The sequence below is a fragment of the Homo sapiens genome, chromosome X (assembly GCF_000001405.40).
Source record: "Homo sapiens chromosome X, GRCh38.p14 Primary Assembly".
Lineage (NCBI taxonomy): Eukaryota > Metazoa > Chordata > Mammalia > Primates > Hominidae > Homo > Homo sapiens.
This window is the reverse complement of record NC_000023.11, coordinates 32,501,439-32,517,885: the sequence shown is the minus strand read 5'-3', so window position 1 is coordinate 32,517,885 and position 16,447 is coordinate 32,501,439. Positions and strand designations below refer to the sequence as shown.

Below are 16,447 nucleotides of genomic sequence, written 5' to 3'. Positions count from 1 at the left end.
TGTCTTAAAAATATATTTTAGATAGCAAGCAAAATCAAAGTTTAGCCTAGAGAAATCTTTCTGGATTCTTCTGTGACTGACTAGGGATGCCTTTCATAAACTTGCCTTAACTTACATATTATTTAACTATAAATTAACAATTTTATGACATTAATTCATGTTGATTCCTTTCATATATTGTTCAGTTACCTCAAGGCTAGGCCTTAGCAAGCTTGCACAATTGTGTAGAGTAGAATAGAGTAAAATAGAATAGAATAATATAATAGATACCATACTTAGGACTATGTCTATATTCTCACTGTTATCAAAAAGTTATTCTTTATAGTCATCAATCCCTGTCATATATTATAAGATATTTAAATTTCCCAGATATTTGTGTATTACCTTATCTAAAAGGTGTCCAGCCTTTCTCAGTATTTACATGTGGTAGCAGATGCTTTGTTGTTGTTATTCCCTTCTGAGATGGTATAATTTTGACCTTCACAAATAGGAAGTTTTATTAATTTAATATAAAGTGTTTCATCTTTAGGGAAATTGTCAAGGCTTTAATTTTTCAACTTCAACAATTATAAAACATGCATCTTTGTATATGATTGGCAACAGTTTGTAAAATAATTTCTAACAGGCAGAGTAAATAAAATGGGCAAGCTAAGGAAGCAGTGATTATGAATGAAAAGTAATTTTATCCATGGGAAGATCACATCTAAATGTGTATATTAGCTCTGCTTTTTCTCTCCAGGATTCAAATCATGAAGTTCAAAATCCATTGTATTTTTACAAATACGACATTACCTCAGTTACAAGCTAATGTTTGCTGTTGGGGTTGGAACTTTTGGAGATCAACAAAAGATATATATATATTCTGGAAAAAAAATCTATTTTTTAGGCTGCTTGAAAAAGGGAAGACAATTTTGTCACCAGTTCTTCTTAGAGTTAACTACTTATAAATTGGAAAGCTATTTTAAATTACTTATTAGCTTTATAAGACATGCTGTTGTCAGCATTATAATAGACTATTCTAAATTGTTTCAAGAAATGGGAAATATGAAAACTGAAAGATAATATATAATTGTAGAAAATTAGCTAAATGTCTTTTTTCAAGTATACTTCTTTGAAGGTAAATTGTTTGCTGTGATTTTTGAGGGAAATTCTCTTAGTAGTAGAAAATTAATTAGAGAACATTAAACTCTAATTTTCAAACATCATGTTACATATTTGACCACTGAAAGTATGAATCACCTTTAGCATTTTATTAGCTAATTAAAAATGATTATTGATCTGATTCTCACAGGTTTCTGTCTGATACTCTGTTTCTTTATCTTAAGACAGCTTTGATCAGGCAGGAAAATTGAGTTTCAGTATTTCAGGAATATAAATTTTAAAAGTTCCTGTTATCATGTGGTTACCTATGAACGATTTGCATTTTATCAATAGCGGGAGCATGACAGACTAAAAGTGCTCAAAAATGTACAGTGTTTTATAACTGGTTTTCTGATACCTTGTGAGTCCCCTTTATCAACCTGAACTCTCATTTTCTGAAATAACAACATCATTCTTAATTGCCTACTAAAATGGGACATGAAATGATTTACCTTGATGTTTCCCTCAGGCTAAATACAATGTATATGTATTAAAAATCCTTGAGAGAAATACATAATTACGATGATGGATATTCAGTTTAGGTATCCATTAATTTTCTTACTACATCACCTGTCGGTTTATATAGGTTATTTTAAACTCATGGCAGGCTCGTGTCATGAACTTGAGTGGTATTAATCCATTTTTAGGCTTTCATTAAAAATGGCTAAATATTACCAACTCTTTTTTTTTTCACTTGATTTCTTCATTTACTCCTTTCAAATGCTTTTAGCCAGTTAGCATATCATAGGCCATTATCAGTTCAATTTCACATATTTTAAAAAATGCAACTTTTAAACCTAAGCATAATTTTTTCCTTGTATATTCACCATGTGTTTTATTCATATAATTAACAAAATGCACTTATTTAAAAGCTGACTTCTGGGGGACCTTTCTAATCAAAATGTCCCTGGACCACCAATATTGACATTATCTGGGAGCTTGTCAGAAATATAGAATCTCAGAACTAGTAAATCAAAATTTGCCTTTGAACATTTTCCAGGAGTGATTCCTATGCACATAAAGGCTCGAGAATCAATATTCTAGGACACAATCTTGGGCTTTACGTAGCAGTTACCTCTCACATTCTTTTAGTATCACTGCAGTTCAGACTTTTTAGCTGAATTAACAGATTCTAACAACTCGAATTTTTTCCGTGAGCACATGGTAACGCAAATTGGTAATGAAACAAACAAAAAAAATAGCCTCCTTTGATCACAAGGGGATTTGATAAGGTGTCTGAAAATCTGGAGCTTCTGTGAGGTTCTCTTGAAACCCTCCCTATCAAGTCGTTATGGTCATCTGGCTTTGGGCTCTTCCTCGGATCTGCACTTGATTACCCTCTTTCAGAATCAACTTTTTACCAACTCCCGCTGGAAATCATCAAGCCAGTTAATGCTTCCAATTTCTCCTATCTCTGTTATCTGTGTTTACTACCCAGAGTATAGGTACCTCGAGTCTATATTTTCTTCTATCTTTCTCTCTCTGCTCTATTGCACTTTCTTTTCCTTGCTTCACTTCCTCTGCTTTCCCACACTCTCACTCGGCAGGCTCAAACACTTTTTCAAGACAAGCCTTCTATATACTTATTCTACTCATACGTGGAAACCAATTTTACCCTCGAAAACAGCACTATGACTCATCCCTCTTTTGTACCCCCACTACTTTAGAATGACTGACTCCCTCACCTAACAGAGACAATTCCAAAGATACTGCTCTCTTCATGTAAAAATACCTCTTTCCTTGCAGTTAATGACTTCTGGCCATCTCTTATCTACCATTTTATCATATTTTCTCATTGAAGACTTTGGCACTAGGTTAGTAGATTTTTTCAACCAATTTGTTCTTTCATTCTTAGTTATTTCAGCATCCCTGTGGGCTCTCCTGCTATCACTAAAAGCTGTTGTTTCTCTCATCTCCTCAATTCAGCTACCTGCTGTCATGATTGTATGTATGTAGATGTTGTCATTGTCAGGCATTACTCCATTTCTTTAATAAGATTATTTTTTTGAGACGGAGTCTCGCTCTGTCCCAGGCGGGAGTGCAGTGGCGCGATCTCGGCTCACTGCAAGCTCTGCCTCCCGGGTTCACGCCGTTCTCCTGCCTCAGCCTCCTGAGTAGCTGGGACTACAGGCGCCCGCCACCACACCCGGCTAAGTTTTTGTATTTTTAGTAGAGACGGGGTTTCACCGTGTTAGCCAGGATGGTCTCGATCTCCTGACCTCGTGATCCGCCCGCCTCGGCCTCCCAAAGTGCTGGGATTACAGGCGTGAGCCACCGCGCCCGGCACTAACAACATATTTTAACAAAACCAGCAGTTCTTCATAAGCTTTCCGTGCATCCTAAGTATATTTTCAACTTAGTTTCTCTCAACAATTATTTCAAGCTTTTGTGGGGTACCTAAACTTTCCCCATCATTCACAGTAAATGATTTCATCTCCTACTTTAGTCGAAATAATATTTCTCAAATTGTGGGTATTTGTGCTCATAGTATCTTTTTTTTTTTTTTTTTTCCACCTGCCTTAGTGGAAGAGGCTATCCTTCACCTGGTTGAGGCTCATCTCTGGGTGTGTGTTCTCAGCAGCATCACTGACTATGTATTAAGCCACCTGGTTCCATTCAGCTGTATATCCAGATTGTCAAAAATCTACATCCCAGGTCTTTATCATTAGCTTTTAAACCGGTTGTGTTTTCATCTTTTAGAACGTGTCCTCTCCTATAAACATGCATGTGAATACTTAACGTGCCTTATCTTACTCAATCCCTCTGTAGAACTAGAACCTATTAACCTCTTTTCCCTCATGAAATTCTTTCCTCGCTTGGCTTATGGGATACTGCTTTCTCCTGATTAATTCTTTCACATTCTTGGCCATTTGTTCCAATTCAGTTTTTCTTTAATATTGATATTCTTCAGAGTCCTTGTGTTTCTTCTCTGGATATCCTCATTCATTCCCATTCAAATAGTGTCTATTTTCAAATGAACCCTTCTCCCATATGTATCTTTAGCTCATCTCTTTCTTAAAACCCAGGGTGATATATCTGACTGCCTAATAGACAATTTTAATTGATGTTTGCCTGATATCTTAAATCTCATTATTTCCCCAGACCTCCTTTATTCTTTCTCCTTCCTTTCACCCTGCAAACAGCCTAATCCAGAAACCTGAAAGTGAACTGGGTCACCTAGATTTTTCTTCTACCATTCACAAGTCCAATCTTTGACAGGTTCAATTAATCCTGCTCCCTTAACAGCTCTTGAAAATGTCCAGTTCTCTCTATTCCCATCACCAAAACCCTGATTAAAGCTAATATCATGGCTTACTTCTATTTAAGATGACAATCCTGTAGCTGGTCTTCCCTGCTACTAATGTTATATTCCTTTAGAAGTTTCCACATCACCTCTGCCAAAGCGAACATATTAAAACCTCAGTATGATCTTGTTATGTCTGTGTTTATAATCATTTGAGAAAGATAAAATCAGCTACTGATAGCCAGGAGCTGGCTTGGCACTTCAGTTAGGCTTTGGAACTGCTAGATGTTGCCTTGGTACTTGCAGCCAGTCTGATGTTCTCTGGTTGAATATAAATAATTGCTAGGGATGCCAGCATCATACAGGGACACGCTATGGTTGTGATGAATCAAGATAAAAGCAAGACCACTTTGTAATCATATCTTAATACAGTAAAAAAGAATAGCATTGTCCAAACCACGCCTAATGACCAAATATCCCTCATCTTCATTAATGTGACACATTATGCTTCTTTACTAAACACAGCTTTAGCCTCTCTGCATTCCTCCTGCCATCTAGATAAAAATTTTAGGACACTCAACATAGAATTACCCTACTTCCTTACAACATCCAATCAAAACAAAGCCCCACTTCCTTGATGCCCCCTATCATGTAACACAAGCCCACATCTTAAAATAAGCTTTTTCTAACATACTCTTAGAGACAGCCCCATAGTTCCCTGTGATGCGCTGTCTCTCTCGTTGCAGCGTGTAAATCAGGTTAACTTTGATAACCTACAAATATGTTCCAGTGGTCTTTGTCTGAAGAGTGTTGACAAAGTCCATGTCTTCATATTGCCCTCTTAAAGCCTACAATGATCTAATTTTTGTTTACTTGCACAAACTAATTTCTAGCCATTTTCATTTCAATTCCATTGTTGGTTTCTAGAAATCAGGACTTGAACGTGAAGTGGCTTTGGTTTTATGTGTGTGTGTTTTGTTTTTGGTGTCCCCATGCCTAACACACAAACCAATAAATGTTTAACTATATGGATATGTGATTTTTTTCAGTTCTGCAGTTGCATTTAAGATAGGATCTATTACCAATATGAAGGATAGAACAACTTCTGAATAAACATTTGAGTGAATAAGTTACTCTTCAGTCAAAGGGTAAAACTTCATTATAGAATGTTAAATGAGTAGATTCTTAATTACTTCTAATGTCGGAGTAGGACTGATAGAGATCCATAACTTATTTTCATAATGTTAGAGAAGATACAGAAAGAGGAGGCTTTTAAGAGGTGCTAATAAAGAAGGAGGAACAGAGGTCTGAAAGAGGTTTTAATCAACTTATTGAGGAATTTGTGAACTTCCCTGTGTTGTATTCTTTGCTTCAAATTATTTTACTTTTCTTCCTTTTATTGAATATTATATAACTTAGTTGCCTTTTATTTTGCATTTAGGTTACCCATTTTAGTATTTATAATTCTTCATGATCTCTAAGAATTTTCATGAGCCCACAATAATCACTCATTTCTGATACATTGATTTACTGATGCCTTTTTTAGCTTCTGTATACTTTACTTGAAATTATGTGTACTAAATAATTTAGAATCCGAGTAGTGGCTTCTAAACATGTGATCATATATTAAGCATATATTGAGTAAAGTATTTAGTATTCTATATGTTAATAGCATAATTTAAAAACTGTATGTTATGAAATATAGATCCTTTCAAGATTAAAAATGTATATGCATGTAGACACATATATGATAAACAGCTCTATAGAAAAACACACATACAGAAAAGCTGGATGACTTCATGAGGACGAAATTTAAGAGAAAGATAATATTGTCAAGGGCAGAGGTATTTTTATGAACATGGCAATTTCGAGGAGGTAATTGTAGTTTTTATCAGTACTGAATGTTGTAAGAAGCATTTTTCCTAACAAGAAGAAAATTAATGACTTTCTTTTCTTTTTTTTTTTTTTTTTTTTTTTCCCGAGACGGAGCCTCGCTCTGTCACCCAGGCTGGAGTGCAGTGGCGCAATCTTGGCTCACTGCAACTTCTGTCTCCCGGGTTCAAGCGATTCTCCTGCCTCAGCCTCCCGAGTAGCTGGGACTACAGGCACGTGCCACCACGTCCAGCTAATTTTTTGTATTTTTAGTAGAGACGGGGTTTCAACTGTTGGCCAGGATGGTCTCCATCTCCTGACCTTGTGATCCACCTGCCTTGGCCTCCCAAAGTGCTGGGATTACAGGCGTGAGCCCCTGCGCCCGGCCAAATTAATGACTTTCACAAAATAACTTTTTGTACAGTAGTGAAGGCTGAAGTCTGACTGTAGGTATTTGGAGTAATATTGAAATACTGGAATTTGGACTAATATGGTAATATTAGTCCAAATTTCATTGAAGATGAAATATATAAAAGAAAATGAAGACTGTGGTTGAAGAGTATTCAGATGATACCCTTGGTCTTGAAAACATGGGAAAGGGGTATATATACAGTATGTATGTGTATGTACATATATGTACATACACACACATAGAGAGAGGAGGTGGAAGATCAGAGCCATGAAATAAAAACAGAGAGGTAAGATTCTACCAAGTTTTGACTCATGGATTGTATATGGTACTCTTTCTTTTCTACTTAGGTATTGGTTTATTACCAGTATCAGGACTTGAGCTGAAGAAAAGATGGATGTGCCCAACTCCCTAACTAATATGCAGTTTCTAGAATACTTTGATTTAATCCATCCTTCCTTTACTGAGCTTGCAGCACCTGTCCCCATGTACTGGTTTTATGGCCACTTTATATAAAGCTATTAGAGTTCGTTATGAATTTGCACTTTAAGAGAGCATTGTGGGTAAGGGGAGAGACCATAATATTGTATATGGACGCGTTACGCTAAAATAGAGCTCGCCTTATTATGTACCTATAATGTACCAGCCACTTTCATGGAGACTTGGGATAGAGTAGAGAAGGATATAGATAAGGATACCTGACCTTATATAGTTTACATTCTAGTGGGAAAGATGGAAATGAAGCAAGACTAATATGTAAAGCATGTGGAATGTTAGTGATAAGTTCCAAGGAGCAGAATAAAATGAGAGGGTATGCATGTGCTTGTAGACAGAGTGGCACTAAAAGGCCTAGCTGAAAAAGTGGCATTTGATGGGGGAAAATGTCCAAGTAAGTAATTTAGGGCCTTTTTAGGCATGGGGAAAAATAAATGCACAGCCGTGTAACAGCAGCATGCCTGTAGCATCAGGGAAAAGGTAAGCGTGTGGCTGCAGCAGAAAAATCACGATGTTTAGCAGCAGAAGAATTCAGAAAGGTTAAGGAAGTTAATTAAGATCAGACCATGGTAAGGACTTGAGCTTTTATTCAGCTGTCAGCGAGTTGAGCTGAATCCTGTTGTCTCTGTCTGCTGTGTTGATAATATATAATCAGAGAACAAAGGGTGAAATATAAAGACCTTTAGTATCCTATTTTGAAACATTCATACCCCTCAGAGATGATGGGGTACTTTGTCTAATGTGGTAGTAGTGAGCACCATGATAACTCACTTTCTGGCTATGTTTTGAGGTTAGAGCCAACAGGACTTTGTGATGGATTGAATGTGAGGCTTGAGAGAGAGAGGGGAGTGGAGGATTCTGTTTTTGGCCTAAACAAAGGAAAACACAGATTGAGGCCTAGGACACTCCAAAGTGCGAGCTCAGGGACATGATTAGGAACCTGCAAAGGAGATGGAGGAAAGGTGACCTCTGAAGTTGGAGGAAAACTGTGTTCAAGTAGTACGTGAAGCCAAATTAGCAAATACTTCTAAGAAGAAAAAGGAATCCTCTCAATCAAATCATGGTGATAGGTAAAGTGAGAACTGAACATCAGTCATTGAATGCAGTAGCTTGGGGGCCAATGGTGAGACTGATAAGAGCAGTTTTGATGGGACTGAGTAAGAGAATAGATGTGAGAGCCAGTTTTTGTTTTTGTTTTGAACCAGTTTTTACTTTGCAAGATAGACCTGTGGAAGGCCTATGTTCCTCTTTGTTGATACACAGTCACTTAAAATGAGGACAGTTATCTTCCTTTTTCAGCAAAATATATCTCTTTAGACTTTGTTTTTGGTTTTTGTGCTTTTCTGTGCTTTTTAATGTATATTTCTGTGAGTTAATGGGAGACGGTAGAAATTTTAGGAACTACTGATCCAACCTACCTGAAAACAGAAGTTCATATATTTCATTTGAGGACGAACGTATGGGTGGCCAGATCCCAGGAGAAATGGCGATTTTCAGTGATGTTTATTTACTTAACCTTTTTTTTTTTTTTTTTTTAACACTTTTTATATGTGGTTATTTGGACATTTCCACGAACAAGGTACTCTCATCATCTCTTGTGTCAAAAATGTTTCCGTGGCCAGGCACGGTGGCTCACGCCTGTAATCTCAGCACTTTGGGAGGTCGAGGCGGGTGGATCATGAAGTCAGGAGATCAAGACCATCATGGTTGACACCATGAAGCCTCGTCTCTACTAAAAATACAAAAAATTAGCCGGGCATGGTTGCGGGCGCCTGTAGTCCCAGCTACTCAGGAGGCTGAGGAAGGAGAATGGCGTGAACCCGGGAGGCGGAGCTTGCAGTGAGCCAAGATTGCGCCACTGCACTCCAGCCTGGGCGACAGAGCGAGACTCCGTCTCAAAAAGAAAAAAAAAAAAAGTTTCCTAAATTTCTTTTTAAGATTATTGAAGTTACCTTTAAGTAGAATGAGCACATATTTCAGTTTGTCGGGTATAGTCTTAGCTTATGTCAAACCATTTTTCTCAGCTTAATTATTCCTAGCTCCCCATTTTACTATAAAAACTATCTCATTTTGGGAAATAAATAGCGAGCTTCCTTTAATCCCCTCAGAAGTCCCACATGGTAGGTATCTTTATTGCTATTTTACATAGGAAATACTGAGGTTCAGAAAGGTCGAAGTACTTTATTAGGGACAGATAGTAAGCAGTAGAGACAGAACTGATAACAGCAGAGCAAAAAGGGTGACTGCAGGCCCTTTTGTTGTAGTATCTTCTTTAACATCTCTTTGTTATACTAAATTTTATTATTTTTAATCAACTATCTACAGCTGTGTCTGAAATGAAATGTTTTCTGGGCTCTTCACTGTCTCATTCACACTCTTCAAGGCATACTTGTATGCATATTCCTCTTCATTTTGCAATGTTCCTCTTGAAAGTAATGTGCCCTAACAGAACCCAGATATCGTCTGAACATTGACAAATATGCAGATACCATTGACTGCTTCTTTCTGGGGTCTATGTGTCTCTTTATGCACCAGTTATTCAGTTTATTTGAGCTGTATACAGAGTTGGTAATCAGCCTATAGACTGTCAGAGACCATTCTGAGTGACCCGGCATTCCTTGTGATATCTTGTTGGCCCTGCTGAATTAATAGTTAAATATGTTGAACATCCCTAATACATCCAAACTATAAGCTCTGTTTGCTCTGATATATATTCTGATACGCTCACACCTTTTTGAATAATATCCATTGAAATACCCCTAGCAACAGCAGAGCATGTCTGAAAGAAAGCTGAAATTATAAGTAGAAGAGCAGGGTTCTAATATTGAATCTAAAACTTCCTAATATGATGACCTTTGATATACGATTTAATCTTACTGATGCTCAGTTTTCTCTTGTATAAAATGGTATACAACAATGCTGATTTCTTCTTTCTTACAATTATTATGACATACATATGGAAATTATGTACATAAACTATAATTTGGTAGTATAAGGAATCTTATTTTCAATGTGGCTATTGCATTGTTTTCAAAATTTTCACAAACCTCTCTGTGCCTCACTTCCCTCCTCTGTCAAAATGGGAAAGTAATAGTACCTACTTTATAGATTATTGTTTTTGTTGTAGTTGTGGTGGTTGTTACTGAGACTATTTATATTAGAATAACTGGAACAATGTGGTTAACAAGATATTAAAGGTCAAATATGATTCCTGAGATATTCAAATATAAGTTTTGTTCTCTGTTAGTAATATTAATTGATTCTAGTAAGCTTAGAATAAAGAGATTATGATGATAACATTTAGAGGGCTATTGATAATTTATTTTCAATATTTATAAAGACCACATAGTGTTCTCATTCTACTTTTTATATCATTTCACAAAAACTAAAGCAAAAGCTCAATGTAGATAAAATAGAAACCCCTCTGATAGGAGAAGATAACTCTAAAAGTAACTCAAAGAACATCACTTTACTCAGCTTGTTGTCATTGTTCCTTTATGTGTTGTATTGTGGTATATATTTTTTCTTTCATCTGTATATTGTTTTCTGGATAAAGTTCAAATTCTGGACACCCCAAATCCTCCTGTCTTTCTTGATATTTACATTACATATTTACTTAAATGTGCTTATTTTTTCTCCTCTAAGATGCTCAGGGTGCTTTCCATATAACATTTACCTTTTAATGGAGAATAAATGTAAGTAGTGAAAAACAAGTATGCCATAAGCTGCTAAGGACAGATAACTTAGATCACAAAAACTAATAAGTTGAGAAAATAGAAATATTGGAGCTTCATCTAGGATCTTACTTTTAACTAGATGTTGTAGCTACTCTATTTTCATGGACTTTTCAGTTCAACCAACAAATTAGAACCATCCATGATTGTGCACGTTCCTGGAAACAATTCAATACTGTCTTTGTGAAACTGAATTTCAAGACAACTCAGAAGTTTTACCTGCTAATTGGAAAGGGATCCTGGGAACATAAAATCACAAAATACCACAAACTGGGTGCTTTGAAATTTTCAAGTGGAATGTAAGATATTAAAAAGTGTCTGTCACTTTCAGAGTTTCTTAACTAATTAGACAAAACTGAGTTTTCATTTGTTGCCCTTCAGAGCACCATGTAAAATGTGTATCTTTCAGCTAAGAGATAGGTATTTAAGAAAATAAAACAAAATTACTACCTTATAGATTTTTTTTAAATTTTACTCTTAATTTATTCTCAGTTTTAATTAGTATTTTATATATTACAGCTATTCCTGATGGAGTTTATTCTGTGAATGATTGGCTTTTTTTTTTTTTTTTAGCATTTTGTACTCTTGATATTGAATCCAGTATTCCTAATTCATGAAACCTTTTTTTGTGATTTTAATAGACTCCATTTTTAGAGTAATTATAGGTTCACAGCACAATTGAACAGAAGGTACAAAAATTTCCCATATAACCCGGCTCCCACAGATACATAGCCTGCCCCACTGTCAACATTTCCCACTAGAGTGGTATATTTGTTTCAACAGATGAACTTACATTGACACATCATTATCTCCCAAAGTTCATAGTTTATACATTAGCTTTCCCTATTGGTGCCACACATTCTGTGAGTTTAAACAAATTTACAATGACATGTATTTATCTTTAGAGTGTTATGCGGTGTAATTTCACTGCCATAAAAATCCTCAATACTTTTCCCGTTCATCTACACTTCTCTCCTAATCTCTAGAAACCACTGATTGTTTTGTAGTTTACATAGTTTTACCTTTTCCAGACTATCATATATTCGGAATTGGAATCTAGGGTGAAATCCTGCGGTAAAATATATAGCCTTTTCAGATTATCTTCTTTAACTTAGTAACATGCATTTAAGTTCTTCCATGTCTTTTTATGGCTTGATAGCTCATTTTTAAGCACTGAATAATATTCCATTGTCTGGATGTCTCACAGTTTATTTATCCATTCATCTACTGAAGAACATCTTGATTGTTTCCAAGTCTTGGCAAATACAAACAAAGCTGCTGCAGCATTCATGTGCAGGAATTTGAGTGGACATATGACTCCTTTGTGTAAATGCCTAAGTGCATGATTGCTGGATCATATAGTAGAATGTTTACTTTTGTAAGAAACCTCCAAACTGTCTTCCAAAGTGGCTGTGCCATTTTGCATTGCCACCAGAAATGAATGAGAGTTCCCATTGCCCCATTTCTCTGTCGGCTTTTGGTTTTGTCAGTGTTCTTGGATTTTGGCCATTCTAATAGGTGTGTAGTGGTATCTCATTGTTTAATTTGTAATTCCCTGGTAACATATGATGTGAAACATATTTTCATTTGCTTATTTGCCATCTGTATACTTCCTTTGGTGAGGTGTCTGTTAAGGATTTTTGCCCATGTTTTAGTTTGTTTGTTTTTGTTACTGAGTTTTAAGAGTTCTTTGTGTATTTCGGATAAGAATTCTCTACCAGATATGTCTTTCGTAAATATTTTCTTTGAGCCTGTGGCTTTTCTTTTCGTTCTTTTGGCAGCATCTTTCACAGAGCAGAACCTTTTAACTTAGTACTATTCAACTTATTAATTCTTTCTTTCATGGATCATCCCTTTGGTGGTGTATCTAAAAAACTATCAACAAACTCAAAGTCACCTCTGTTTTCTCCACTGCTATCTGCTAGGAGTTTTATAGTTTTACATTTTACTCTAGAGTCTGTGATTGATTCATTATTAATTAACTTTATGAATTATATGAACACCACAATTACTTTCAAGCAGTTACACAAATTTCTAAATTCAGTGGAAATGTATTTATTTTTGGTATGTTTATTTTTCATTTTTATTTTATTTTTTATAATTTCAACTTTTGGATTCAAGAGTAAATGTGCAGGTTTGTTACGTGTGTATATTGTGTGACACTGAGGTTTGGTGCTGAGCATAGTATCCAATAGCTACTATTTTGGACCTTTTCCCCTCACTCCCTCCCCACTCTAGTAGTCCGCAGTGTTTCTTGTTCCCATCTTTATATCCATGTGTATCCAAGAAAACATGGTTTTCAACCATAATGCTGTGTTCCACAAAAATATATGTTCATGTTATTTTATTTTATTTATTTATTTTTGAGACAGAGTCTTACTCTGTCACCCAGGCTGGAGTGCAATGGTGTGATCTCGGCTCACTGCAACCTCTGCCTCCCGGGTTCAAGGGATTTTCCTGCCTCAGCCTCCAGAGTAGCTGGGATTATAGGTGCCTGCCACCATGCCCAGATAATTATGTTTGTATTTTTAGTAGAGACAGGGTTTCACCATGTTGGCCAGGCTGGTCTCGAACTCCCGACCTCAGGTGATCCACCCGCGTTGGCCCCCCAAAGTGCTGGGATTACAGGTGTGAGCCACTGCACCCAGCCCATGTTATCATTTGTACAGATATATTCAATGTTGAAATTTTAAAGTGAATTTGTGATAAAATTCACAATAATGTCAGATATTTCACCATCAAAAGTATAAACTTCCAATGAAGTTGATCCAGTGAATAACATGAAAGTAAATAAATTGGAATTAAATAATTGTAATTAAAACAAAAGAAGGGTGTAAGGTTTATGCCTAGATAAACTTTTTTGCATGTAGATGTTGTGTTGTTCAGGACCATTTGTTTAAAGACTTTTTCTCCACTGTATTGCCTTGGTTCCTTTGCCAAAAATCAATTGATTATATTTATGTGGATCTGTTTCTGAGCTTTCTATTCTGTTCCATTGATTTACCTGTCTGTTCTTTTGCCAATATTACTCTGTCTTGATTACTGCAGTTTTATATCAAGCCTTGAAGTCAGATATCGTCAGGTCTCCCACTTAGGAAACTCTTTAAAATAAATTTTTAAGAAAACCTTTATTCAGGCCAGGCACGGTGGCTCACACCTGTAATCCCCCCGCCCCACCCCAGCACTGAGCTGGGCGGATGATGAGGTCAGGAGTTTGAGACCAGCCTGGCCAACATGGTGAAACCCTGTCTCTACTAAAAATACAAAAATTAGCTGGGCGTGGTGGTGCACGCCTGTAATCCCGGCTACTCGGGAGGCTGAAGCAGGAGAGTTGCTTGAACCCGGGAGGCAGAGGTTGCAGTGAGCTGAGATCATGCCACTGCACTCCAGCCTGGGCGACAGAGTGAGACTCTGTCTCAAAGAGAAACAAAAACAAAAAGCTTTACATTTGTAGCTATTTCTTTAAATTAGATAGTCTTTTCAGATACATAAAAATATGTGGATTATTGTATAAGCATTTACATAATTTAATGTGCTTAGTAAATAGTGTTGTCTAGATGATTACTTTTTCTCTGCAACTATTTCTGATATTGCCATATTATATGAAAGAGTTTCCCTCTGTCGCCCAGGCTGGAGTACAGTGGCGCAATGATAGTTCGTTGCAGCCTACTCAGACTACTGTGCTCAAGCAGTCCTTCTGCCTCAGATTCCTGAGTAGCTGGGACTACAGGCTCCTGTCACCACGCCTGACTAATTTTTTAAAATTGTTTGTTTAGAGATGGAGGTCTCTCGATTTTGCCTAGGCTGATCTCAAATCCCTGGACTGAAGCAGTCTTCCTGCCCAGGCCTTCTGAGTAGCTCGGATTACAGGCCTATCTCTTAACTATTTGCTTTTAAAGGAATGTATTAGATCTGCGCTGTACAATCACAGTTAACACTGGTCACATGTAACCTTTAAATTTTAAATTATTTAAAATAAATAAAATTAGATTAAATTAAATATTCTTTTATTTTCAAGTCATGCTGACCACCTTTCAAGTGCTGAATACCCACATGTGGTTATTGGCTATCATATTGGATGACACAGATACAGATCATTTCCATCCCTGCACAAATTTATACTCAACAGTGGTGCAGACTGTCCATGTATCTGTTATTTGCCCTCCCATCTGTACTCCAGTATTTTACCTGGAAATATTTTTTTAAATGCCTGTGGATGTAAATGAAGTCTTAAAAAATAGTCTCATGTAGAATAACCTTCTGCCTCAAATTCAAGAGAAATCTTTGTTATAATATGATTGTTAAGTCACAGGTGTGTTGTTCTTACTATATTTTAATTGCGTTATAGTTATTTGAATAGTTATGTTTTAGGACATACACATTGTTATAGTCAACACTTCTTGATGATTATAGTAATGTAGTTCTACTCTGTCATAGTTTAAAATTTATGTCTCCATAGGAATATTATTAGCTAAACTCAATAGTATGAAATTCTGGCTATTGTTAACTGAAATAATTTTGCATTTGTGGTTCAAAATGTAACTCTTAAGGGAAATAAAGGAATTCAGAAAGTTTTTTGAAACTCAATCTTGTCTTCCTTGGAAATAGGAGTACTTTGATTATTTTTGAAAGAAAAATTAGCCTACAGCCTGGTATTTAAATATATATGTACATATATTATATATTTCTGCTAAATTATTTATGGTAGTTTATTTTTTCCATCTTATATACATACTGGATTCTCAATTTGATTTTTAATACCGCCTATATACTTATTAGTAATTTCAATGGTGTATCTTTAAAAGATAAATTTCATTTTAGTTATGTGACACTTTATCTTTCATTGTTATGAATTGCCTTTTTACTTTTTGCAGTCTTGCGTTGAAATGTATCAGAAACTATAATGTAAAAAAAAGCTGAGTAGAAATCTTATAATTAAAAGTTGTAGCAAGTCATGAAAATGGCTCATGCTTTTATTGCCATTTTGATGTTTTTGATGGCAAAAGTGTTGAGAAAAAGTCTTTAGATTCACGTGATAAGCTGACAGAGTGAAACATCTTAAGGCTTGAAAGGGCAAGTAGAAGTTATAATTATTGTGTAGATTCACAGTCCTTGTATTGAATTACTCATCTTTGCTCTCATGCTGCAGGCCATAGAGCGAGAAAAAGCTGAGAAGTTCAGAAAACTGCAAGATGCCAGCAGATCAGCTCAGGCCCTGGTGGAACAGATGGTGAATGGTAATTACACGAGTTGATTTAGATAATCTTCTTAGGGATTTGATAAACACATAGGTTCATATTTATCAGCTGAATTATATCAGACAAGCACTTGTTAAATACAAATTTAAATTAAAAGGTGTTTGTATGTTTTTTATTATTCTTTTTTTAATGCTAAGGAAATTATTAGGAGAAATTCAACTTTGAGTTCATTGGAAGAAAATGGGATGTGGTAGAATATTTTATCAGTCTGTAGCAGAGAAATAAATTTTAATGCAAATCTGCTAGAATTTATCCAAATAATTTAAGAAAATAAGGTTAACAGAAATTTGAAAAC

At 35.8% G+C, this 16,447-nt stretch overlaps 1 protein-coding gene across 17 annotated transcripts in view; it reads left to right on the top strand.

The window, feature by feature from the left end:
* The window catches only part of DMD (dystrophin), a 2,220,167-nt gene that overhangs the window by 821,503 nt on the left and 1,382,217 nt on the right, over positions 1 to 16,447 (top strand). For all 17 annotated transcript variants that reach the window (XM_006724469.4, NM_000109.4, XM_011545467.2 and 14 more), the window contains 1 exon segment: positions 16,044 to 16,131. In XM_006724469.4, the coding sequence (XP_006724532.1) occupies positions 16,044 to 16,131 (88 nt within the window).